General features: G+C 43.6%; 1 protein-coding gene and 1 long non-coding RNA gene across 2 annotated transcripts in view; one reads left to right on the forward strand and one right to left on the reverse strand.

Annotated features, from left to right (window-relative positions):
• Positions 1–27,107, forward strand: part of CACNA2D3 (calcium voltage-gated channel auxiliary subunit alpha2delta 3) — a 952,006-nt gene that overhangs the window by 751,850 nt on the left and 173,049 nt on the right. Inside the window, exons 19-27 of the mRNA NM_018398.3 lie at positions 4,617–4,688; positions 4,949–5,010; positions 6,395–6,462; positions 10,880–10,925; positions 11,088–11,185; positions 13,558–13,651; positions 16,954–17,049; positions 22,348–22,469; positions 25,387–25,467. Of these exons, the coding sequence (NP_060868.2) occupies positions 4,617–4,688; positions 4,949–5,010; positions 6,395–6,462; positions 10,880–10,925; positions 11,088–11,185; positions 13,558–13,651; positions 16,954–17,049; positions 22,348–22,469; positions 25,387–25,467 (739 nt within the window). The remainder of the gene's footprint in view (positions 1–4,616; positions 4,689–4,948; positions 5,011–6,394; positions 6,463–10,879; positions 10,926–11,087; positions 11,186–13,557; positions 13,652–16,953; positions 17,050–22,347; positions 22,470–25,386; positions 25,468–27,107) is intronic.
• On the reverse strand, positions 204–26,854 carry CACNA2D3-AS1 (CACNA2D3 antisense RNA 1). The gene is made up of 7 exons (NR_046666.1): positions 26,758–26,854; positions 22,265–22,557; positions 20,212–20,354; positions 4,287–4,543; positions 2,615–2,753; positions 1,868–1,910; positions 204–1,309 (listed from the first exon to the last, which is right to left on the reverse strand). It is a non-coding gene; the product is annotated as a CACNA2D3 antisense RNA 1 (long non-coding RNA).

The following is a 27,107-nucleotide window of genomic DNA, read 5'->3' on the forward strand; positions in this document are numbered from 1 at the left end:
TCTTAAAAATAGCGTTTATCCTTTGGTTATAAATTCTCAGAGATGGCACAAGGAATTGAGGGTGATTTTTTTGTTTTGTTCCTATTAACTTCCAGTCATTCCCAAGCTTTCCACATTGAATGTGATTATTAATAGAAAAAAACTCATAAAAATAATAACTGCCATATATTAGCTCTTCCTGTACACCAGTACCATTCTAAGTTCATGAGTGAACTTATTTATTTATCACAGTGAACCTATGAAATGGGTGTTTTATCTCCATTGTACAGGTGAGGAAACTGAGGCAGAGAATGGATGTAATGGCCTAAGGACATAGAGTGTGGATTCCAACTCAGGCAGCCTGGCCCACAGAGCCGTGGTCTTGACACTTGGATATTCCATGGAGAGAGCCCTTAAGTCCTTGAGTCCAGGAGTCCTTGAAGACTCTATTTCAGTGACGCATAGTATATGGGTTATCCTCCTCGGGGGGTGCAGAAAAGATAGGGAGTGCCTTGCACATAGTAGCTGCTAAACAGATGTTTGTCTGCATGGTATTGTTGTGAGTACTGCCCCATAGATGCTGCTTTGAATCTAACTACAATCCCTTCTGTTGTGGTAAAAGCCTTTTTTCCCCTACTACCCTCTAGGCAACTACATTGCTTCATACCCATGATGACTCTGATGGAAAATTTCTCCGGAGTCTTTTTTGCCCGAAGCCCTATAAGGCAAAAAAGCCTTTTTCATGGGACATATTTCTGAGACCTTAGTCCATTTATTTGATTCTTTTTTATACCCTTCCCAGAGTGTCTCTCCAGCTCATGCTTGAGCTCTGGACACCCAAACTAAGCACAGCACTCCCCCACCCCCTCCAAACCCAAACTGACACATAGGGGAGGAGGAAGAGAGAGAGAATGTTTTGCAGGTTCTCCATGCTCAAGTCTGTTTTCCTACGCTGGTTGAATGCTTGCTTGGGAATGACAGACCTGTTTATCCACTGTGTCTCCCTTCCTCTTTAAACTGCCAGCTTGTCTGTGGTTGCATGTCATTAGGGGCTTAGAAATGCAGGCTGCCTGTGCACCAGAAAAGGTGAGGCTCACGTTCTAATGTGGACAATGAGCCACCATTAGGAGCACGAGCTATCATTCCATAATCATACACACAACTTAAGGTGGCCAGTGAATCTCTGGGGAAAGCTTCCTTAATGAACTGTAACATGGCTGGTCAGAGTAGCAGACTAACAATGAAACAGGAAACGTGGCTTCCACCTGTAACGAGGTTGGCAGGAAAGTGGGTGCTTTGAGTGGTTATCCAAGGAGCTTCTGCTTCAGCACTGCAGAAGAGAGACACATTCACCAGGGGCTCTGGAGAAGCACATCTGAACTGGACAATGCAGGGCCCAGGGGAAAGGGTGGTTCCCAGAGAGCGGAGAGGCTGATCACTGTCGCCAGATGAGTATTTTCAGCTTGAGGAGATTTTACCTTTTATTTTATTGAGTACACTGTGGTACAAGCTGCTTTAATGTCCATTGCATTACCACACTTGCGAATGCTTGATATCTGATATGGAAAAATCAAGGTATGCCACTGATGTTTTAATTTGCCTTTCTCTGACTATGTGTTAAGTTGAACAGCTGCACATGGGTTTTTTAATGACTACATAATATGCTAACATATGGGCACATCAAAACTTGTTTGGAAATTTTCCTCCGCCAGGCCATTTGCATTTTTCCAGTTGTTCACTGTTGTAAATCCAAGCAGTGGCAAGTTCAAAGCAGTGAACATCTTGCCCTCCCCGCCTTAGGTGGGGACTGATTGCATTGCTCTTCCCCATCACTTTGGCCTGTGCTTAGGACTCCTCTGCCGTCTTACAACCTAGGGGTGCCACTCACTGTGATTCTGGGCAAGTTGCTCCTCTTCTCAAGCCGCAGCTTCCTAAGATAAAAAAGTGACATTTCTAGAATGTTCCAGCCTCACAGTGCTGTATTCTCACAGGGCAGTCTATTAAGTCATCAAACTCCCTTTCCTCCTCTGGCAAGGAGGACAGAAAGCCACCTTCCTGTCAACCCTAGATCATAGTACTTAGAGCTCGTAGAAGAGTCTGCCAGGAAGTTAGGACCTCAGACTATGACGTGGTCAATTGTTAAAACATTTTATTTGATTTTTAAAAACTCAGAAATAATATATGATTTTTATATTAATGCTATAAAGTATTTAATGTTGTCCAAGTGCTTTCTCTTCTGATTTGGGAAGCAGAGGTTAAGAGCATGGGCTCAAGAGGCAGAGGCCTCGTTACCCTGGGCAAACTTCTTATCTGTGCCTATTTCTCCACCTGTAAAATGGAGATAATAACAGCACCTCAGAAGATAAGTTTGAGGGGTTTAAAATCTGTGCCTGACACACAGTAAGAGCTCAGTAAGAACTCAGTAAACAGTATCTCTCAGTAGTATCCGAATTTCATAGGAATCTGATGACCTCCCTTTTTATAGCCCCTGACAGGATCCCTGGGATCTGGGAGTCCTCACTCATGAACACTTTAGACAGAATGAATGAAACAGGAAGAAAGTGAGCCACAGAGAGGTCACGGGACAGCTGGCTTGTGTCAGTGGCAAAACTTGAACATCGATATCGTGGTTTACCTCTTTACCTGGGGCTGTCTCCTTTTCGGTCTATGTAAACCTACAGGCAGTTAAGAGCAGCAGTTTTCAATGTGGGGAGTTGGAGGAGAGGTCACAAAATCCATTTAGTGGTTCATGAGCAACATAGCAACGAAATCTACTAAAATAGGAGATAGAGAGGGGCTCATCAGAGTAAGATGTATTTCTTACATGGCTCAAAGTCAAAACAGTTTGGAAAACATTGAGCTTGGGCATCTGCCTCAAGCAAACTCAAGTCCGAATCCTGATGCTTTAAGCTACTGAAAGGTGTCTGACACTAAGTGAAAATGAGCAAGATGGTAATGAGGATGACGATGATACAGATACTGTTGACTGTGGTGTTGATGATGATGGAGGATAGCTAGCATGTATTGAGTGCTTGGGAGGCACCAGACACTCTTCTAAATATTGACTCGTCAGTCTTCACTACAACTTAATGGGATGGGTGCTGGCATTAGTTCCATTTTTCAGAAGAGGAAGCTGAGTCACAGAGATGGTAAGTGATCGAGATACCCAAGATCATAAAGCTCTGGCTCCAGAGTCCATTCCTTAACTACAGTGCCATCCTGCTTCACTAGTAGGTTCAATAAGTATAACCTGTTTTTGTTATGATTTAAGACAAGGGCAAGACTAAAGGAGGCATCAGTGACCCTGGCCTTGGACACTCCCAGACCCCCATGTTGATTGTTCTGTGCTACTGGGAGTTGGGGGTGGGGTGGCATGGAGACACAGCGAGGCTTACCTAATCTCTAGTTTGCCTGGGGAATGTGAGAGGAGAAGGTCCCAAATGGCTTTAGGCAGGCACCAGAAAGAGGAAAAATGAAAACCATGTTAAAGATAAATCGAGCCGTTCTTAAAAGTTAGAAAGTAGACTTAATTAGGACCAGCTCTCCCTGTCCAAAACCACAAAAGTTAAAATGGGAAAATATTTCCAGAAATGCCTATTATGTGTTGTTAAAAAAATATCTAGAGTAAAATATATGTTTTATTTTATACATGCCTCCAGCTAAAAATTATGCCTTTACTCACTCACACAGAAGATGAGAATGCAAACCCAAATCTAGACAGCCTCGAATCAAATTTAGGTTGCTTGCTAGTGTTGCAGTTTTCTATCGGCCAGATCTTACTCAAGCTCCTCAAAGGAGAAAAGAGGGGAAAAGATGAAAAAGACAAGAGAGGGGTGGGGAGAGAGCCTTTCCTGACAGGCTGTGGCATGTCAGCGTTTGCTCCTATTCCATTAACTGGCCTTCTCTGTCGTCTTGCCTTGGTGCCCATGACGGCACATCTTTCATCACTGCGTCTGCTGTCCTCCTCTGAACTCATGGAAGGGCCACATGTAATTAGATGAGGTCAGCTGGGGGTGGGGGAGGAGAGCCAGGCTCGCTGCTCCTAAACAGGACCTCCAAAAAATCAGATACAGGGTCGCTCCTGTTCACTGCCTCATCAGCAAGGTCATTAATTGGCCCAGATTTCTCAGAGAGCATTTAAAGATGATTCATCTTAGGAAAGGCTAACCCCTGTCTTCCAAATGCTTGGCCTTTTTTTTTTTTTTTCTTCTTCTTTTTAACTACTGTGTAGGAAAACGTCTTTAACTTGATTACGTTTTGAAAAGTGATTTCTCCATGACAAATCAGTACCCTTTTTGAAAACGTACCTTGTCCCCAGAGACGTTCTTGCTCGGCATTTCAGCGGGTCTCCAGGAGTTCACGCTCTGACCCCCGGGATTCATCAGTATCGCCAAGGCTCTTTTGTTATTGTCCTGAAGTTTACACGAGCTCCCCAAATTAAAGATGAAGGTCATTTATTTATTGTTGTTAGCCTGTCTCCCATTGTACATGAGCAGTTGGGTGTTTTATTCTTCAGAAGCTCTGTTTTCGAGGTGTAAGTTCAATATGGAGGCTCCACTGCACGCTGAGGATGCAAGATGTCCAGATTACATGATAACCCAGGGAAGAACTAACACACTTTTCTTTTATCATTTTAGTTGAGAAATGCTATGGTGAATCGAAAGACGGGGAAGTTTTCCATGGAGGTGAAGAAGACAGTGGACAAAGGGGTACATTTTTCTCAAACATTTTTGCTGCTTAATTTAAAACAAACCACTGTGAAAAATTAGCTTTGAAAGCTATATCTGGAATAAATATCTTTCGCTGAGATCATTTTTCTCTTGTCTTTACTTATCTCAAACAAGATTCATGTAGTACTGTTAACCTGATCATAGTGTGTCCATTTATTTTTATTTATTTCTGAAGACGTCACTTAGCAGACTAACCATGTTTTCTTTTCTCTACGACTTTTTTTTTTTTTTCAATCTAGAAACGGGTTTTGGTGATGACAAATGACTACTATTATACAGACATCAAGGGTACTCCTTTCAGGTAGAGCTGACCATAATACATGGACATTCCATCAGACCCATCAGTTGTGTTTGTACAAAACCTGCTGACACTCTCAGAGCTCATCATCTGAAGATAACCAAACACCCTGCCAAAAGGCTGGAAAGAGTGAGGAAGGGGCTTTTCCCAGGCTGCTTTTGTTTTCCAGAAGGGGGGGAGATGGTTCAGGCTCACCTAGGAGAACTCACTCAATCTGCCATGGCTTTGCATCTCATTGTCAAGCAAATATGCTTTGGGGGTTCCCGCTAAGGGTGAAGACAAGTGCAGAGGGTTACCAGGGTCCTTAACTATTGAACTTGCTGCTTTGTGAGTTCCATTTCACCTTTTATTTCCATGACCAAAAAAACAATCCTTCAAACCTGGAGGTGGCATATCCATTCCTACATGTTGTGCCTCTGTTTCCATTTCTCTGAACTGTCCTTGTGTGCTTGTCTACTTTTGAATCCTGTTGTTTCTCTTTGTAACAGTCCTGAAAAATGGCTTTGCCTCATTGGCTGCTTTCAGATGTGTATGTAGCATTCTAAAGTTTCCCACTACTATTAACTTAGTGTTGTAATTCATTTTGTAAAAAATTATTTCAGTAAGCCTGCTTCATATTCCTGAACTGGCGTCTCAGAGCTAAGGAGAGAAGGAGTTTACTGACTGTAGAATAATCTGAAAAATAAATTCTAGCATTGTTGTCCTAAACTGCCAAGGATCATGGGTGGATTCCATGTGGAACCAGGAGCAAATAAGGACCACATGAGCTGCTAAGTGGGTTTGCCAAATAGTCTCTCTAACGTAAGGGACTATGTTTTAAAAACATAGTCTCTTGCTTTTGATAAAAACGGAATGGATCTTAAATCAAGCCAGTGAGTGTGAAAAACCTATTAGACTAGGGAGAGGATTGGGCAAAGAAGCCTGCAACACAGTAATGTGGTTACACTCATGTAGTAGTGGAAGTTTTTGTTTTTGCCCTTGAGCAGGGGTCAATTTCCCGAGTCCCAAAGTCTAGGGGCTGGAGAGACCCATCTCTGGCTGAATGCAGGACAAGGGTGTATAAAGAGCAGGGCTCATGGTCCTTGGGAGGGCATCTGAGAGAAGGGCTTGCTGGAAGGGCGAGCAGTTTGCCACAACTCTGAAAACACAAAGAGTAGCCAATTGCTGCTGGCATTTCTGATCAGAAGTTACTTTGAAGCAGCTGATTGAACCTAAGAAAAACCAACACCAGTGATAATCAGTGGGGTTTTGAAAGTAAACAGTTGGAAAAATTGTTGACAGATCATAAAATGGAAATGTGAAAAATGGAAAATTAAAAAATGTTAGCCCACAAGTCTATTCGAGTCGATGCCAGGGATTTCAAGATTTGCTTTGTCTCTCTGCACAGTTTAGGTGTGGCGCTTTCCAGAGGTCATGGGAAATATTTCTTCCGAGGGAATGTAACCATCGAAGAAGGTAAGATACTGCCTGGCTCGTCTTATCCTTTGGTGTGGGAGGAAAGCTCGGGAGCTAGCTACTGAGTTAGCTGAAGAACTTGTTCATCTGTCCGCACCTGTGACCAGTCCCTTGGACATTCCACTCAAACGAATGCCTACTTGATAATTCTTAATACCTTTCTTCTTCCCTGGTGTGCCTAGATTTCAGAATGACAGGAGTTCCGATTCATGGTTGTGATTTAATTTACTTATATTCTACTTTCATCCACAAAGCTGTTGACTATGAGTAACTCACAGTCAACAGCATTATGGATGAAAGCAGAGTATCAGTAAATAGGAATCATCCCTCAAGTATATTCTTCTCATACATAAAAATCAGTACTTGGGAGAAATACAAATTTATGAAATAACTCATGCCCAGGGGAAACCATGAAAACAGAGATATGAGAGCCTTAGTCTCTCCTACACAGTTGAGCCACGTATTTCACTTGTGTTTCATGGCAGCCCTGGCCCAAAGGGAAATGTGACCATTTAAATGATTTACATAGGTCAGAGGGAGTAAGTAGCACCTTGAAGTTCCCAGACCCTCTTATCTTCATAAAGCACAGAGGCACAGTAAACTCTCAGTAAACAGGAGCAGTTGTTATAGCTCTTTAAATTTTAAAATTGCTGTCACATGTGCTATCCTTTTCATCTGCCAGCTCCCTAGTAGTTCAGAGAGGTTACCTGTCCCAGCATTAGGAGCTCACAGGGGTGGTGGACATTGTTTCTGAAGGGCACCACTCCCTGAGTGGCCTTGAGTGACTCACTTGCAGGTCATTAGGTTTTGCATGTCCACAGAGGAGGAGTGGGCCCAGAACAGTAGTCTTTCTGGATGTCTTTAGGGAGGACAGCCAGGAATGGGAAGGTCAATTATAAGCAAAGTTTTAATTGGTCGGAACTGATTACACATGTATGTGGTGAGTTTCCAGAAGCTGGGCCATCCATGGCGCCCTCAGATGATGCCACAGGGCGTGAGGAAGGAGATGGATGTTCCCTGAGACGCCAAACCCCTAGATAGCCTCTGATTTACTGCCAGTGGTCCCTGCCCGTGTTGTTTCAGGGATGTTGGTTTGTGCTTCCCAAGTGCTTGTGAGATCGTATAGGGGCAGAAAGGAGAGTAGAGAGGCTCACTGTGAGCTGGGCACAACCCAGAGTGTGCCCACCAAAGAGCTAACCATGTGGTCTCTCTTCCCAGAGACATGCCAGAGAACACAGGCAACTCTGTGACTTGAGCAAGACACTCTGCAGGATGTGTTTTCAGGATCATGTTTTCACTTCTAGAATTTTCTGCCTCTGTGGGCCATGTTGGCTCTGTGGACATCACTGCCCATGAAGCCAGAAAATTCATGTCTAAGCCATGTGAGGTCACGCTGAAGAAACAACTCATGGTCAGAACAATAGGAGAGGTTATTAAGAGATATTAACTGCCTCTCATGCGTCTGCTCCCTTGGTCAATCCTCAATACATGGGCCTGTCCCTCCCTTCCTCTCTCTCTCTCTCTCACACACACATACATACATACATGCATGGAGACACAGATACACACAGTTGTTTTGCATTGTCTTTTGGATTCTTTTTCAGTCACTATCTTCCTGTATGTTCCACAGCTGTGAGGCTAAGCAGTCACAGAGAATTTCAGAGCTAACTGTAACCACTGTGCAAAAAATTAGCTCAAATCCTCAGCAAGGGGGAGAGTGGCTGCTTATCCACCCAAATGAGGTCATATCTTCCTCTCTCTGTTGGTCCTCTGTAAATAAAAAGACTGACAATCCTGCCAGCTTTGCTGAGTAATAGAACTTAAGAAAGCTGCTTCCCCTTGGGCCAAATAGTAGAGGATCTTGTCATCTCTCTAGGAGCCGTGGTGTATTATTGTTCTCTTCTGTTCTTGGAGAGGGAAGGAGTTCCTTGGGGTTGGCAACCATACTTCTATAGGATCTTCAATAAGGAATAACTGCCTACAGAATGTGGGAATTTTCCACATGCTTTGCCAGTGCCAGAGATTACAAAGGCGGCAAATAGGTAGCTTTTGCTAAAAAATATAAAAAGTCATTACCAAGATTGAAGGTGTGGGCTATAATTCTACCTGCTGAAATTGTTTCTCTTATGAATCTTTTAATCTTTTTCAACACTTTGTATCTTTTTGTGTGTGTGTGTGATGGAGTCTTGCTCTGTTGCTGAGGCTGGAGTGCAATGGTGTGATCTCAGCTCACTGCAGCCTCCACCATCTCCTGGGTTCAGGTGATTCTCCTGCCTCAGCCTCCTGAGTAGCTGGGATTACAGGAGCATGCCACCACGCCCAGCTAATTTTTGTATTTTTAGTAGAGACAGGGTTTCACCATGTTGGTTAGACTGGTCTCGAACTCCTGACCTCGTTATCTGCCTTCCTCGGCCTCCGAAAGTGCTGGGGTTACAGGTGTGAGCCACCGCGCCTGGCCACTTTGTATCTTTTATATGTATTGCACATGATAATTGTTCAACAAATTAGAGCTTATGTCATTATTGTCAACAGTTCCAGTCATCAGTGGATATGATTTTTATCAGAAGGACCAATGTCAGAGGTGAGAGAATTAGAAAGCAATTAAATTTCCTTGGTGCCCTAGGAACCCAGAGAAGAAGCAGTCAAAAAGATCTTCCCGATAGATCTCATCTTTTCTGAGTGTCATTTATAGGTCCTGTGAAATAGAGCCAGAGATGATTTTGTAAATGAGGTTGGGAGGATGGGAACTGCAACTAGAAAAAGACTTGACACTCTAAACCCAGTTTTCTGGGAAGGTACAGTCCCTTCTCAGGGCCTTTGCACTTGTTATTCCTTCTGCCATGAGCACCCTTCCTGCCACCTACATGACTCTTCCTTTCCTCATTCAGGTCACTTTCTCAGTGAAGCCTTTCCTGACCTCCATAGTTACAATGGAATCTCTCTCTCTCTCTCTCTCTCTCCTCTCTCTCCCTTCAACCCTCCTTATCTCTTGGTCCTCCCTGTTCTTGTTCCATGTTCTCTTTTCCTTTTTAGCCCTTGCTACCATCTGATATTCTCTAAAGTTAAATTTTAATATAATTTACTATCTCTTTTCTGCCACTAGAAATTAAATACAATGAAGGCAGTAATTTTCGTTTTGTTTTTTCACTGCTATATTCTCAGGGCCTAGAATCATACCTGGCATATAGCAGATGCTCAGTAAAAGTATGGAAGAAAGGAAGGAATGGGAGGAGGGCAAAAGGAAGGAAGGAAAGTTGTTTGGTTGGGAAGAAGGAAAGGAAAAAAAGAAGAAAGGCTGCACAGATAGATGGATTGTACTAGGGACTAATCCCTGTCCCATTTAACTGTTTTCTGGCACTTGTGAGCTATGCAGTATTACTTGTATCTCATGGTAGATATAACTCAAAGAGCTGACATGACATCCCCAAGGTCATTCAGCCTGTAGGTGTTGGAGCGTGGGTATGCCCACTTGGATCATATGCAATGATGTTCATTCTAATGTATTCTCTACTTTCTGTAAAATCAAGCAGAATTGTGTGATAGGTCTAGTATTTTGCTACTTCTTTTATAGATTTGTGTTTGAGATGGAAACTGGAGTCCTGAGTGCAGTAAGATACTATCAGTCATTTAAGAAACTAACTTCCCAAAACAGGCTATAAGCATCATGGGAGTTCCCGAGGTCATCATTCAGAAGTGTATGTCTGCTGATAACCCATTAAGATCAAGCCATGTGAAAGTGCAATGAAACAGTTATCCTTGCAGAGTTAGGATGGTCTGGAACCTTCTATTAAAACTCCCAGATTCCATGCAAGCCCCAGCTCCCCTAGTTTCCTTCCCAGGCGGATGACCGTTTTCACTTAGGATCCTGTAACAACTAGCAATCTTTGCTGCTCAAAAACAGTTGAGTATTGACGACTTCATATTGTTCAACCTATGATTTCACCCTCACAACCACACATCAATTAGGGACTACTATTCCTGCTTTTCACATGAAGAAACTGACGTTTAGAGAAGTAAAATAACCTGTTGACATCACACAGGAGGTCAGTGGCCTAGCCCGGTTCCCAACTTAGACTAAATGGAGCACCAGAGAGAGTGTTTCTAAAGTCCTGTTAAGCTTCTCCCTCCGGACTCATTTGTGTATCCTCTATCTTCAAGGGGTTAAGGTTTTCCTGGGATGAACAGCCAGGGAAGGTGGCAGTGCTGGGCTGAGTGAGGTAGAGATGGGGAGAGAGTCCTGCCTGGAAGGGAACTCGTTTATTTTCCTCAGAAAATAAACCTGCTGCTCCAAGGCAGGTCCCTTAGGGTTGATGTCTACCCTTAACCCACCCCGCAGCCCTACCCTAGAATATTTGAAGCACACAGGAGGACTGGGGGAGTGATACTTATTCATGAACCCCTTCTCCTTGACCCCCAGGCCTGCATGACTTAGAACATCCCGATGTGTCCTTGGCAGATGAATGGTAAGAATTAAACCATCCCTCCTTGACCATGGCATCCTTCATTGCCCTCTTTGATTCCACATGGTTTGTGCTCCCTTGCCCAGTTTTCCTGATTCCAAGGCAAAGGAAGCAGATGCTGTAAATATTGACATGCTCTTGTTTTGGGCCATGTCATGTTCTTAGGTCCTACTGCAACACTGACCTACACCCTGAGCACCGCCATCTGTCTCAGTTAGAAGCGATTAAGCTCTACCTAAAAGGCAAAGAACCTCTGCTCCAGTGTGAGTATGCTTTCAAAAGTGTGCTGTGCCTTCAGGGGTGATGGTGGGGAATGAACTCAAAACATTTTTTGGCCTCACTTGTTAAGGGAAGCTTTGCTTTGGCAGAGATTATCAGTCACATGAAATCTAATCAAATATCTGCTTCCTGTAGGAACAGGAGAAAGAATGTGGATTATGGAAAATTGTACAGAATCCCCAATCCTGGTTTAGCTGTTTGCATTGGGCTTTGTCCCCTTCTGAACCATTTAGTCAAGCAACTGAATAGGATGAAAATGTTACAACTGGGAAGGGACTGTAAATATTTGCATATCTCCCTTATTTTGCAAATGAGAAACCAAGGCTGGAAGTAGGATTGTGCCTCATTCAAGGCTATATCTAGATCTCCTGGTTCTCCCAAGAGTAGGGTCACGACGGGGACACGTAGCCTCTCAGTGTGGTACATGCTGAGTGCCCTGCCTACCAAGCATCCCCTTCTAGGGGAGTTCAGTGAGTAGGAAATCTCTCAGCTGGTGCAAAAGAGGGAAGAGCAGTGGCAGCCCTGGATGTCCCTCAAAAGCAGGAACAGACCCTATACTCTCACAGTTTGGGCAGGGGAGAGCCACTAAAACTGATCATGATATCTGCCCCCACCTCTAACAAGCATCATGTATTCAATGACCTGAAAAGTGTTTTACATATCTAATCCTATGAGAGGTGTAAGGAGATTATCCAGCTACTAAATGACATCTCCATAGAATGGATTTACTTTTTGGGATATGCCCTGGTGGGGAAAGGATCAGATGGACATCCTGTGAGCCCAATGTGTCATTGTCTTTGACTTTTTAAGGACATATTTAAAAAACAAAAGTATAGAGACAATATGAATAATACATTTGTAGTCACCATCCAGCTTTATGCAGTCGTAATATTTTGCCACACTTACTCCAGGTGCTTTTTAAGGAATGAGACATTATAGATAAAGTTGAAGCCCCTGGGTCCCTGCTCAGCCTCGTTTCCCTCCCAAAGAGAATGACCTTCTGTATTTGTTCATTATTCTCAATAATTTAATGCTATTCCTACATATGTAGGTATCTATAAACAATATGTAGCATTAATTTTATTATTTTAAAATATATATTAAACTTTATGGTATATTGTATGAATTACTATATTATAATACATACAATATGTGTATAAAGTATATATGTACTACAACTTGTGTTTTCACCCATTATATTTTTGAAATTTGTGTTGATCATTTAGCTTTAACGCATTTATTTGCATTACTATATAGAATTCCACTACATAACTTAATATATTCATTGTCTTACTGATAAGTTATTTCTAGCTTTCGCTTTTCAGCAAAGCTCTTTTTTTTTTTTTTGCCCCCAGTCAAGGTGAGGACTGTCCTGTCCCATGTGATAATTAGTTATCCTCCTCTGCAGAGTGATTTGAAAACTCTAGGATGCCTCTCCTAGACTTACCATGTCCTCTCATTCCTTGGCCTCTTCCACAGAGCTCTACCAAGAGTCCCTTTGGATGGCAACAGACATTCTCCTTTAAAATGAAACAATTCTTGGCCGAGCGTGGTGGCTCATGCCTGTAATCCCAGCACTTTGGGAGGCTGATTCAGGCAGATCATTTGAGGTCAGGAGTTTGAGACTAACCTGGCCAACATGGTAAAACCCCATCTCTACTAAAAATACAAAAATTAGCCAGGTGGTAGTGGCCTGTGCCTGTAATCCCAGCTACTTGGGAGGCTGAGGTAGGAGACTGGCTTGAGCCTGAGAGGCAGAGGTTGTTGTGAGCTGAGATTGTACTACTGCACTCCAGTCTGGGTGACAGAGTGAGACCGTGTCTCAAAAAAATAAACAAATAAATAAAAATAAATAAAATGAAACAATTCTTAAAAAGAAGGAATCACAAAATAAGAATCCCAGGGGTTATTAAGTTATGGTATCTCTTTCCCATGTGACAACAGGCTGAGAATTTCAGGGTGCTAAAGAATTTCAGTTTTAGGAGAGGACAGAGATGGGGATGATGACAGCCAAGTGTTCAAGGAGTACTGGCTTCTGGTCTCCAAATCTGGGACTCAGCCTGCTGGTCCATGGCAGGAACCACGAGATGGGGTGAGAAAGCAAGAAACTGAAGTGTGAGACACCCAAGGCTCTCAGTTGACTACCTTCTTGCCCAAATGCTTTGGAGGCTCCTGTGTTGCAGGCATACCAGGTGTCAGAACTGTTTCATATTTTCAACTAGTGGGAACTTAACTCATAAAGCAACATGCCGCATGAGAAAGTAGCCTGCAGATGCTGCACAATGAGCCCATGAGTGCCTCTCATGCCCCTCTTCCAGCCCTGCTGAAGCATCCTCTTGTCTGTCCCTCCCAACAGGTGATAAAGAATTGATCCAAGAAGTCCTTTTTGACGCGGTGGTGAGTGCCCCCATTGAAGCGTATTGGACCAGCCTGGCCCTCAACAAATCTGAGTAAGTGGTTGCACGTGTCCTCGTTTCATGGCCATTTCCTCACCAACACTCCGAAATATGGTTATGGTTTAAAGAACTAAACTGTTTTAGGAACCTGGTGTTAAAGTTCTTTAATTTTCCCCCAAGCTCCAAACCACAAGAGCTAGAGCAGATTAGCGGCTCGGGCTTGGATGGCAAGCTCCTGGCTTTGACATATAATTTGTTTGAGTTTTAACGTTACATGAAATTTGGTACGCTGAGGTAGGGTGACACTTCCGAGAGAGAGGGAGGCGGAAGGGAACTTCGTTGCCTGCCTCGCCACAGCTCTCTCTACTTTGCAGTCTTGGGGGAGCTTGGGATCTGGGCCAGGTTAGGTTGTGAGTAGGATGGAGAAGTGAGAGCTCAGTTTCATAGGGTGTTAGATATAACCCTGTGGTTTTATTTCTGAAGTGGAGGGTGGAGGGCTGTGGGGAAGGCCGTGGTAGTTGATATCAAAGACTAGGATGAGAACTGCTTTAGCAGCTTATTATTATTTCTTTACCATTATTACTTTAAGTAGACTATTAAAGATTAAAAAGAAAAGGAAGAACCATTCCTTTTCCCTTATATTTTCATGTGTTACATGATTCATTTCTCTCCACTTTTCTGTTCTTCCTTAGTTCATTCCCTCATTGTATCTTCCCTTCTATCCTGTTTCTCTCCATTTTTCTATTCAATAGTTCATTCCCTCATTGTATCTTCCCTTCCATCCTGACATTCATTCTGTTCTCATTTTCATTCATTCACTCATCAAGTCTTGACTGTGTGTCTGTTATGTGCCAGACTCTGAGCGAGGTGTTGGGGAAATGGAGAGAAACCACACAGATAGAGCCCTTAACATCATGGCACCTGTGGTATATAGTGTGCTGTATTATTAAGAATCATAACTGCTTTGAAGGAAAAGTAAAGACACATAAAGTGTAACAGATCTAAAGTGGAGGAGGAAGATGGGAACTAGTTCAAGGTTTGGGCAGCATTCCAGGAACAGCATGTACAAAGGCCTTGAGATGAGAAAGCATTTGACACATTGGAGGAATTTAAAGAAGGTGGACACAGCTGACATATAGAGGATAGCCTGGAAGATGTCAGAGGATGAGGCTGCAGAGGGGCCGCATGGCTCAGGACCTTGGGAGTCAGGTTAAGGATTTTGGATTTTATACTCAGAGCAGTGGAAGATCACTGAAGGATTTTAAGAAGGGGAAGAAAATGATCAGATTTTCATTTTACAAAAAGATCTCTCTATTGCTGTGTGGAGAACAGAGGGTGATGGGGTAAGAACAATAGTAAAGGTTCGTACAGTTTTCCCAGGGATTCATGACTTGGACCCGGGCAGTGGGCACAGAGAGAAGAGGTCCACTTGTGGCTTGCTTCAGAGGCAAGGTCTCCAGGACTTGATGATGGGTTTGTTGTGGAGGGTAGGGAGGTTGAGCCATCAAGGATCATTCCCAGGTTTATATCATGAGCTATTGGGCAGACGGTGCTATTTGCTAACACGAGAGACACTGGGGGAGGATCAGGTTTAGGGCTGGGCATGGCCAGTCTCTCTTCTAGACATCGTGAGCTGAAAATGACTGAAAGTCTCCCAAATGGAGATGTCAGGTAGGCTGTTTAGTATGCAAATCTGGAGCCCCAGAGAGACTGCCATTTTCATTATTAGGGGTGTCTTTGAACTGCTTGCCTTCATGGCATGGATCTTATTTCCTGGGAAGCTGGCAACGAATTGAGCCTTTCCTGGGGTTTCTTTCTCTAGTAAACCTTGTAGTGTTTCTTTTCGGCTCTCATGAAACTCAAAATCTTGAGCAAAGGTTGCTGATTCATTCCTAACACATACTAAAGATTTCCAAAATGGTAACTTGCTTTGTAGTCCACCATCTGTAACTGATTGGACAGCCTGGCTTTCCAATTTGGTGTAGGCTACAAGCAGAAATGCATTGTTTTGGTTTTTATTCAGCCCTTAAATACTTAAAGGTAGCATCCACCATTTTGACTTTCATCAAAGATCAAGTAACCAAATGACCTTACTTTGAAGATAACGTGGAGAATACTTTGGATCAAATTACTAGTAGCATTTAGGACAGAGAAACAAGCTCAAGAATTGGTGTTCTCTTCATACATTTATTGTAGGATAAAATTATGTGTTTGTGGACCAGGCATGGTGGCTCACACCTGTAATCCCAGCACTTTGGGAGGCCGAGGTGGGCAGATCACAATGGCAGGAGATCGAGACCATCCTGGCTAACACAGTGAAACGCTGTCTCTACTAAAAATACAAAAAATAAGCCAGGCGTGGTGGTAGGCGCCTGTAGTCCCAGCTACTCGGGGGGCTGAGGCAGGAGAACGGCATGAACCCGGGAGGCGGAGCTTGCAGTGAGCCGAGATAGCGCCATTGCACTCCAGCCTGGGTGACAGAGCCAGACTCCGTCTCAAAAAAAAAAAAAAAAAAAGAAAAAGAAAGAAAAAAAATATTATGTGTTTGTGAAGAAAGGCCATTTGCTTTTTGCATAGGAGAAATATACCTTGCAAATCTCCTAAAGAACACGCTCAAGCATATAGAATTTGCCTTGGAAGTTGAAACAAAATGATATTTAGTGAATTTTTACATTAGTTTTCCTTGCCAAGGCCGTTCTTAGAGTTCCTATGTGTAGCCTCCTACAGAGCTATTGGAAGAAGCCATTTCTTTACACATCTCTTTGGGGTTGGTGGTGAGAATAAGGCCTGTGGTCTGGTAGAAGTGATAAGCTGGGGCCCCCACAACTGTGTGGATGTCAAAACCAATTCCAACTACGTGGAATTCCAGGCTGTGGGATGCTGCAAACTTGGTTCCATGGCTCAGCTGCTTTAATGGCAGATTCCACAAATGATCTCAAGACCAAGAATAAACTTGGTAGCTTTAATGCAAAAAGCGAGTCCTAAGCCCTAACTGGCTAGTCCTTCCCATTCTTAGCCTGATCTCTTTGAACTTGCACCCAGAACCTTGAAATAAAGATGTGTGTATGGTTGGAAGTAGATTTTTTTCACATGCTGCTTTTGTTGGCAGGAAGTTCTTCATTTTTCCTGCAAGTATTACTTTGAAAACTTTTGTAAGGGATACAAGTTGGCAATCTGTGCTCGTGTGTGTGTGTGTGTGTGTGTGTGTGTGTGTGTGTGTGTGTTTCTGTATCTTCTTTTAAAGTTTAAGTTTCAAAACTGCTATTTGGTAAAAACATTCTGTGAGTCTTAAAATGCAATGTATTATCTGCTTACTGTCTAGAGGCCTCCCCCTGACGTCTGTTGTTCTGTTTCAGAAATTCTGACAAGGGCGTGGAGGTTGCCTTCCTCGGCACTCGCACGGGCCTCTCCAGAATCAACCTGTTTGTCGGGGCTGAGCAGCTCACCAATCAGTAAGTAGGAGGGATCCTCTACAGGGGCCCAGGGAGCTTCTGAAATGGAACATTCAAAGGGAAGCTTATTTCATTTCTTGATTCCACTACTGGTAGAAACATAATTTAGGCCACCCCAGGCCTATTGAGATTTTTCCTCTCTGTTCTACCATGCGGGCCCCAGCATGTGCTTTCACCTGCCTGTTAGCCCTTCCACCACCCTTTGTTCCTCAGGCTTGTTGGCTTCTGTCCACTGTCCTGGAGTCCTCTCCCGCCCTGATGAGTCATTTCAGAACTCTGGGAGGTGGTGCGGCTGCTGGGGGAGCCGCCAGAGGGAGGAAACACTCATCTCGTAACAAATGGCTTCAGGGTGTTCAGCTGTTCTGCAGCTATGCTGAGGAATTCCTGCCTGTACAAAAGTCACTGTTCCAAGTCCTGTTTGTTTACATTTTACTAATAAACCTCTGCCTCTGTGCTTAGCCTGAGGGGCTGCAGAGCTCCACACCCAGGAGTGGGCCCTCTGGGGATGCTGGGGTTTGACAGTGTCTCCTTGGACTTCCAAAGAGACGTGGATAGATGGTGGGCAGAGAGTTTCCAGGTCTAGTACCCAGATGCTAAGCCCCTGCATCTTCAGAGAACCACGGGCCCTTAACTCATCAAACTGGTGTTTCACCAGGGCTAGTAGGTAGACTGTGAAGTCTTTTCTGAGTCTGTTAATAAGTTTTTTCTATTTCTTTTCTCTGAAGCAAGAGCGATTGTTAAGACATGGACAAATGGGTCCCAAGATTCAGAAAGTTAGAGAGTGGTTTGCAAGTGTGTGTGTGTGAGTTCAGAGGTTACCACAGAACATTATACCCCCAACCTTCAGGGTACCTGGAGGTGAATAACCAAGCCACAGAGTAGCTGCCAATTTGAGAGGGATTGGCTCATCAGGGGTCCAAGGAGGCGGTGCTTCCTTGGAGCTTGACAGTGCTGTTTGCCTCTGCTAGGTGAGGCCCTGACACCCACCATATAACCTTACAAAACCAAGTCTGGTAAATGACAGATCAATCAATGTTTAGGTATTTTAAGAGATTGGCTTTGAATTCTGTTCCAGGACTTTGACCTTCTTGATACTCACATTTATCATCTATGAAGTTTGATTATAGTTGCAACTTGATTTTTAACGACTTTTTTAAGCGTTTTTCCCCCAGACAATTGTTTTTCCAGAGGGCGAGTTCCTGGGAAGGACTAGAGGTGCTGAGATACACATTGCCTTCTCCTGTTAGGATCCAGATAGGCAAGGGGAGACAAGGGAATTCATTTTCTAATACTCATTGAGAAAGTCTGCTGCTGGCATTGAGACTGAAACAAGCAAAGCTGCAAAACAGTAACAATAAAACATGACACCTTGCTGGTCTGATAACTGTGTTATTGTGATGGATTTAAAAGACAAAGGACCACAGTAAGGATGCTGGGAGGTGTACCTGGCTTATCTCACTTGGGTATCTTCATTCTGTCCTCCTGAAAAGTGAGAGCGATGATCTCTTTTGGTTACTGTGAAGATCAAAAAAAATTATGGATGAGCTGGGCACAGTGACTCATGCCTGTAATCCCAGAACTTTGGGAGGCCAAGGCAGGCAGATCACTTGAGGTCAGGAGTTTGAGACCAGCCTGGTCAACATGGTGAAACCCTGTCTTTACTAAAAATACAAAAATTAGCCGGGCATGGTGGCACACACCTGTAATCCCAGCTACTCAGGAGGCTGAGGTAGGAGAATCACTTGAACCCGGGAGGTGAAGGCTGTAGTGAGCTGAGATTGTGTCACTGCACTCCAGCCTGGGCAACAGAGTGAGACTCTGTCTCAAAAAAACTCTTTTTTTTTTTATGGATGGAAAATTTCTTTGGGAAGCTAAAAATTCCTACAACTGTGTGTTCTATTCTTTGTGGCATTACGTGACCCACAGAGTGGGTACTCATTGACAATTTGAATGGATGAAATCTGTCTTCAAGAAACTCCTGTCATTGCTTCATATAGAGGCACCTTGACATCTATTGTCTTAGGGTCTTACCTGCCTATCCCCTCCCATCAAATGGTATTTGTCAAGATCCAGCTATTTGGATACACTCTCTAAGCCAGGCTTAGAAAGTTTTTAGCATTTCTGACTTTTGGTTTAGTTTTTGCTTTTGACTAGGGCATGAAAGGCAGAGCTTTAAGTATTGGGCAGAGAACTTGATAATATAAAGTTGCTACCCTGCAATTATCTCATACTATCATCAGTCTCCTACACTGAGATTTCATCCCATACCCCCGCCACCTGCATTTGGAAGTAGGTCGATTATACTGAAACTTGGCCGTCACCCCCAATAGTTATAATACATTCTGTGCCTTCAGTACGACTTCTCACATCACATGCATATAGCATCCAGTGATGTTAGCCTTCACAGCGTACAGCCTTAAGTTAAGAAGATGACCACTTTACCCCTGCCCTTTCAACCACCAAGAACAAAAGAGCTCTTGGGCTTTAAGAATCCCATATATTTGTTAGAGCCTGTTTTCAGTGTCCATAACACTCTTTCACATATGGTGTTATGTAATTCTGATACAACCCTGGTAAAGTGCAGCGTTTTTATTGTTCCCATTTTGTAGATGAGTAAATGGGGGTCGGAGACTCAATTACTCACTCAGAGTCACCCAGTTCTTCCCAGAATCTAGACCAGCCTGACACACCACTGCAATAGCTCCTAGTATCCAGGAGGAGACTTTCACCTTACCCAGAAGGATCTTTCTTCCTGAAGAACATTTTTGGGATTCTGTAAAATCAGGTTGCTCCTTCCTGTTTCCTCCAGAATTGCTGCCTAGTAGTTGGCAGAGGCCTCCAGGGTTTCCCGGCAACTCAGTCCTTTCGCAGTGACACCAGGGCTAATGGGGATCAAGTGCTGCAGGCTCCTGCTGGCTGCCCTAGGTGCCAGCACTGTCCCGGGCAGCAGGGCACTGGACACCCAGATGTGCAGCATTCCAGATCTATTGCCAGCCACCCCCAAAGCCTGAATGTCACTGCCTTAAGTGAGGACCACTTCATACCTTCTAACCAAGCCACCATCTCATCTACCATGACTCTGGAAAAAGGTCCCCTGTGGGCATCATTAACCTGTGCTGCATAGACAGGGCACCTCTTAGCTGTAATGACCACTGAACAGACCTGCTGGGAGTGCGAACACCTTCTGCTCAGTCGTGGCTGCACCTGTGACCCAGGGTAGAGAGTAGCAATGCATCCTGCCATGGGCCAGGCAACAGAGGCTCCTCCTCACACCGTCCAGGTCAGGTTTATGAAGAATTTCATGTCTAGCGAAAGAAATGAAAAGGCTAAAATTTCAGTATTCCTGAAGCCTGATGACTTTTAGATTAGGAAACATTACCACTGAATACAAGCAGCACAAAGAAGAGCTTGTCTACCAAGATGAGCCTGGAAGTCCTGATCTCCAGCATTCTAGATAGCACAGGGGATCTCTGCACTTTCTCAGTCTTGCACATGACTCCAAAGTTGGCCTTAGCCTTCTGAATGAGAGAAGAGTGCTTTGTAAAAATTTTTCTTTTAAACACTTTTAATTTCTGGAGAGTCATTTTGTCAGTAAGAGTCAAGATCAAATGCAAGCAGCTATGCTATGTCAGACCGTTTTTGACCTACAATTACCTAGTTCTAGTAGCACAAAATTTTATAGCAGTATTAACAAAGTAGAGCACTTATGAAGACGGCCATAGAAAGGAATTTAAACAAATTGAGAAATTTTATTTTTGAAGATATAGGAAATTGTGTTTAATACTGGAAGAGCTCTTATCTGGATATGAGATTAGATTTTTCTTGTGATCATTAAGCATACACCAAGCGCCTGCTGAGAGCCAGGCCCTGGAAATATTGGGAGGAGGAAGGTCCCAGACCTTAGAAAGGAGTTAGGACATGCTAGTACAAGTTACAGGGAGGTAGATTCCAGAGCTATCTAAGAACCTGGAGGGTGTCCTCGAAGGGCATGGGCCTCCTCTCCAAAAGTGGGCACTCCATCTTTGGTAGAGGTGAAGGGAACCCTGGTTAGACACACCCTGCAACTACTGAATGCTTTCCTGAACTGGGTGCCAAGTTCAGGAAACCAACCAGTTACAACTTAGCATGAAAATTTCTCTCCATGGTCCTTGTGATCCAACTCTCTGCTGCAAACTGCTGGGTTGAAAGTGGTGCCATTTCTGCTTCAACTCATGGCCTTTTCCCTACCTATATGTTGTCCCTTGATTGGTCTCCCTTCCAGAAAAATGTCTGCAGCAGACTGTGGCCTAACCAGGCGGTCATCCCCCCACCGCCTGAGTTGCACCGTATCAGCCAAGATGAGGCGCTTCAGGTGCTGGACAGCACATGTGACTCTCCAGAGGGAATGTCAGGTCAATAATCATGCACTGGGACTTGAATATGCTTAAGGCTCTGTGAAGAGTGCACAAATGTGAACAAATCTCCTGTCCTCAGAGATCTTGGGAGGTCTGGGGAGGGGATATGATGATTGTGCAGGCCAAAAAATAAATAAAAGGCTATATGAAAGTTACCAAGATTGTGGGGGCCCAGGGTGTGGCAAAAGCTTGCATGTGTTTCTGTGGATTCATGGGGTAGATGGTAGATGAGGCGCACTTTGAAAATGAGTGTGATTTTGAAAGGAAGAGATAGAAAGAAGACTGCACCTAGCCTTCCCGATAGACAAGCTCTCTGCGCAGAAGGCAGGGAGTCAGTGGAGGGCGGGGATGCACACAGGGGGCATGAGCAGGCCTGTTTGTCCAGCGAGGAGGCAGGTGAGGGAAGAAGGTACAAAGATCTCAGTGTGGGCTCACATTTACTTCCTTTGCACTTCTTCTGAGAAGCGTGTTTACCTTCTTTACACTTGCTCTAAGAAGAATGAGATCTACTTAAGGAGTTGATTCTCCCAAGGGTATGAGTATATGTGTGTGAGTATTAAAGCCAGACAAAGCTTTCTTGTTTAGAGGGGACATCCTTGGGTTTTCTGATAGGATTTCTGTAGGCTTTGTTTGCTTGGCTTCAGACTTTAAGACAATTAGTTCACTAGATATACAAGGAAAAATCATTTTACCCACTCAGAATTTGACTCCCAGAGCTCTGCAAGATGTTTTTGAGTAATCTGGGGTGCACAGTGTTAAGTGAGGCCCCCTCTATACTGAGAAAGGCAAGTTGGGGTTCTAAAAGTGAACACTGGTTTTACCTGATGAAGGCTGTCGGGGTGCTCCAGGCCCACCTTTACTCTGCTGAGTGATGCATGTTCTTCTGATTCTTTTCCACTTCAAGGGACTTCCTGAAAGCTGGCGACAAGGAGAACATTTTTAACGCAGACCATTTCCCTCTCTGGTACCGAAGAGCCGCTGAGCAGATTCCAGGGAGCTTCGTCTACTCGATCCCATTCAGCACTGGTGGGTGCCCTTGTTGGAGGCGGGCTCTGTCTGTCTGGTCCAGTGGGTCTGGGCATTGTGTGCAGGGTGTTGGGGAGCTGCCTGAATGCTGAAAGGAACCAAGTTCAACCCTCAGAGCCAGTGCTGAATATTGGGTCAGCCCTGAACCAGTGACCAGTTCCATAAGAGTAATAGCCTCAAAGAAAAGGAAGGTTTTTCCTTTACCAAATTATGTAAATGTATTTCAGGAAGCAGGGCTGATGTTTTGCATCCTATGGGATTTTAATAGAAACTTGTCAGTCAGTTTTTTTAAATGTAGTCATGGCCCCACTTAGAGAAAATTCAAGCATCCCTTGCCAGAACCTTCAGTGAGTCACATCCCTGCAGAGGTCCACTGTTCCCCATTTGAACTGAATTGATTTAAACTGATATGCCGGACTAAGGACTGACTTTGTATAACCATGTGCTCTCTTGACAGGAGCCTGCAGTTACCAATGACAGGCATGTAGCCGATTAGTTTTTCAGTCCTAAGAGTTTATGATATGATAGTATAAAAAATTAAAGTCACCTGCCTCCAAAAAGAACTGAATGATGTCTTATTTCCACCAGTTTTGGAAGCAAAACATACTGGAAATGCTTCAGTTTTCCTCGTATTTTTTTTTTCTCTTGCCTCATGCATCTGGTATTTTGGGTGCTCACTCTATACTGCTTATTGCAGAAACTTGAGAGATGAAGGAAACCTAGTTCTGTAAACTTGGGTTGCTCTGGAAAGTTCAATCTGTAGTTATATTTTACATATATCAGTTCCTTTCATATTAATCTTCTACAAATATTCCTAACTCAATCCTAAGGGAAGTTCTCCAGGGTTTGTGCCCAATCCCCCTCCCTAAGGCTTGGTGCTTTGTCATTTCCATGACTGAAAATATTTTCAGAAAGGGTGCTTTTGAAATTTGTAGAAAGCAAAGAGTGCTCTTACAATTGGTTGAATGGGCTCATTAGGAAGACAGTCCCTCATCAATGGACATATTTAAGGAGAGGCTGAATGTTATTGATGAGATTCTTTGCTGCTTGGGATTTCAGACTAGATTATCTGTTAGATTCTTTTCAGGTCTAAGGTTCTTTGGGTCTGTGCTCCTTTGCTGATAGACCTGTGTGTATGCCTGCCTGTAGTTGTGTGTGCTTTCTCAAATGTAAATTTCCAGGTGTCCGAAGCTCGCTTGCTTGCTTGCTTGCTTGCTTTCTTCCTTCCTTCCTTTCTTTCTTTTTTCTTTCTTTCTTTTTCTTTTTCTTTTTTCTTTCTTTCTTTCTTTATCTTTCTTTTCTTTTCTTTTCTTTTCTTTTCTTTTCCTCTCTCTCTCTCTTCTCCGCCCCACCCCGTCTTTTTTTTTTTTGAGACAGAGTCTTGCTCCGTCACCCAGGTTGGAGTGCAGTGGCATGATCTTGGCTCATTGCAACCTCTGCCTTCTGGGTTCAAGCGATTCTCCTGCCTCAGCCTCCTCAGTAGCTGGGATTACAGGCACCCGCCACCATACCCAGCTAATTTTTGTATTTTTAGTAGAGTTGGGGTTTCACCATGTTGGCCAGGCTGGTCTCTAACTGCTGACCTAAAGTGATCCACCCTCCTTGGCTTCCCAAAGTGCTGGGACCATGCCTGGCCTGAAGCTCTTTCTTTGTGCTTGTCTGCACCACACTTTGTTGCTGAAAATATCAAGAGACAGTGAACTTTTTCATTCTGCTGCAGACCTATGAATAATAACATTGTCTTCTGTCAAGCAATCTCTTAAGACTTCCTTGTCACAATCCTCTAAAGAAAAATAATAGAACTTAGCTTGCTGTTCTTCTGATTCTGGAATCATCGAGTTAACTAAAGCTGTTGTTGGATTGGTTTTTGGTAACTGGGATTTTCACCAAACTTTCAATGTAATGGTATAATGAAGTGAGTTTACCTTGTTCATGACAAAGTTACAGATGACGTAACATCTTAGGACATTTCATAACCCCCTTAGAGTCCGGGAAAATCTTAAAAATCACCAACTGCAAGTCTCTGTGGTGGAGCTCTCTCTGATTTTCTCTGCTATGTGTTGAATACCTGTACAAACTAGAAAAGAAACTGGTTTTTATTGCTGCTTAAACTTGGGCCAGGAGAAAATTTCTCATTACTTTGGTCCTAAGTGTATTCATATTCAGGTTTGACTTTTCCCTGCTTCTCAATTCAATTGGATTTCATCCAACTCACTTTCATTGAGCACCTTTTAGCAGGTGGGCATTGGACTAAATTATTAACTCCAGGCATTCAGAATTTGTGCTCAGTATCTTTTAATTCGTGGATATTGGAACCATTGCTGGTAATTGAAAATCTCTTAATACTAATGCCATATTGTTACCAGAATAATAATAGTTTGGAGTGAAGATTATGCTCTAGCTCTATCCCTGTTTAGAATAATTTTGCCCAGAAAAACTGGGCTCGAAATTACAATTTTATAGATCAGTAAAGATTTAACCAATGAATCAGAGCTAAAGTTGCCAACTTGTAAAATAATTTCAAAGCCCTCATACAGCTCTTCATGGTTATATTTAGACAGGCAGTGTAAATATGACCACTGACACAAGTAAACACTGCAATTTGAAACCACAGATTACCAAAAAATGTGGTCCCTCGATGGTGGTCAATGGTTTCGATGTGAAGAGGCTGGATGTTCCCCAGTGCACTGGTGGTCATAACTCAACTCGCCAATTCCTTCAGCTGGGAGGACTCGCAGCACTGCACTCATGGCCTGGCAGCGTAGGCAGAGCATCCACACCTCAGAGGACTCTGGGGCCTGGGACCAAGCCCCAGAACAATTTGCAGAATTGGTGACTGTAGACCGATATGATTACTCTCTTAACGTGTACACTGTAATTATCTTCATTTTTGTTGTGGTGTTTTTTCTTTTCACAGGACCAGTCAATAAAAGCAATGTGGTGACAGCAAGTACATCCATCCAGCTCCTGGATGAACGGAAATCTCCTGTGGTGGCAGGTAAATAATTGATTGAATCCATGAAGACAAAGTAAGCATGGCGCCCATTCATCCGGCCAGTGGGCTACTTCTGTGAGGCACGCTTATCCTCCAAAAAGGTTTTCAAAGGAGAAAACAATTTTAAATTACTTCCTTCTCAGCTTGGTGTCATCTCCTTCAAACCAAGACTCTGACAGCTGGTGGTGGTTGATGTGAAAACAGAAAACTTTCCCAGCGTTTCTATCCTTAAACTCTGAGCCAGTAAGAAATTGTCAGTACTTGCCGAGGAGAATTTCTTGATGGTAGGTAGCATGTTCATTCAAAGTAAACTCCAGATCTCCAGCTTCTGTGTCATTAGGATGACAGTGGGCATACAAGGAAATTGCAGGTTTGTTTTAGGCAAACACAAACTGAAATGTGCCCTTCTCCAGAGAGACTGAGATTTTCATCCCCCTAATCCCCCTGGGGAATTAGAGTTAGCTGTATCTGCAGGTGCTGTGTTTGGGACCAGGGGAAAGCCAAAATATTATATGACTGAGAGTCTTGAATTGTCAAAGAAGTCCCGTTTCTGGCTTTTTCCATTTCTCTCACTTTTTAGGAGTGTCAGCAGCTGTCTGTGGATGGCTAGGGGCTTTCATTGGTGGCATTTGGCCTAAAGGGCTGGCAACTACCAAAAAGCCCTCTTTGAAGACAGATGCTGACATAAAAACAAGGCCCGAGGGTGTGTCTGGCACATGGTTTATTCTGATCACTTTGGAGCCATTGGTTGATGGGTGGGTGATATGCTCCAAGCACCATCCTGGTATTGGCTGGGTTTACTAAAGAGAGCGATTTTTGTTTTCCAGCAGTCTCCCTCAATAAGTTGTACTTTAGGGTGACTTAACATCCACTTCTGTGTCTTCACACACTGAATATTTGTGGGAAGGAGTATAAATGGAGCAGATGGAGGAGACCTGTTTGAAGTGGTTGTTCTTTGGCGAGGAAATACTGCTTTTTTCCCCCCACTTTATTTCTTACTTGGCCTGTGTATAATTGTATTAGTAGGGTTGAAAGATCTGGGGGTAGTTGCCCTGGTTATTCCTGAGTTACTGGGTGTGACAAGGATGACAGCCTTATGTATCTGACCTGTGGCTCATCTTGAACTAAGCAGACCTATTCTTAATCAGCCAGGAGATATGGGCTCTGAGGATTCACAGTTGCTGTCTTCAAATTTTGTCACTTAATGTCTCATGTTCCTTGAGGAAAGTGGGAGACGGGATCATTTAACTCAACAAGATTTACTTATGCTTAAAGGAGGTCAGGCTTGCTTACCTCCAGGCTGGTCCAGCGAGCTAATTCTGAAGGCATGTTGTCTCCCGGGAGCTGAGGCCACATGCAGCAGCTGTCAGTGACATGGTCTGGCCAGAATATCTGGTTGTCTGTTTGAAATTTCTTTTTAAAACCCTTTCTTTGGGTTTCTAGTTTAGTCATCATGAAGGATGAGCCCTAAGGTCACTGTGCCTGTCCCAGCCACCTCTGTCCAAGTTTACAAACTATGCTCACATGTTTCCAAATGCCTTACATTTCATAAATGCCTGTTTGGCTGAGTATAGGTGAAACGTGGTCTGAGCCTGAACACTGTGTATCCAGTCTAGAGAAGAACGTGCACTTTCCAAATGCTA

Source organism: Homo sapiens, chromosome 3 (assembly GCF_000001405.40).
Source record: "Homo sapiens chromosome 3, GRCh38.p14 Primary Assembly".
Classification (NCBI taxonomy): domain Eukaryota; kingdom Metazoa; phylum Chordata; class Mammalia; order Primates; family Hominidae; genus Homo; species Homo sapiens.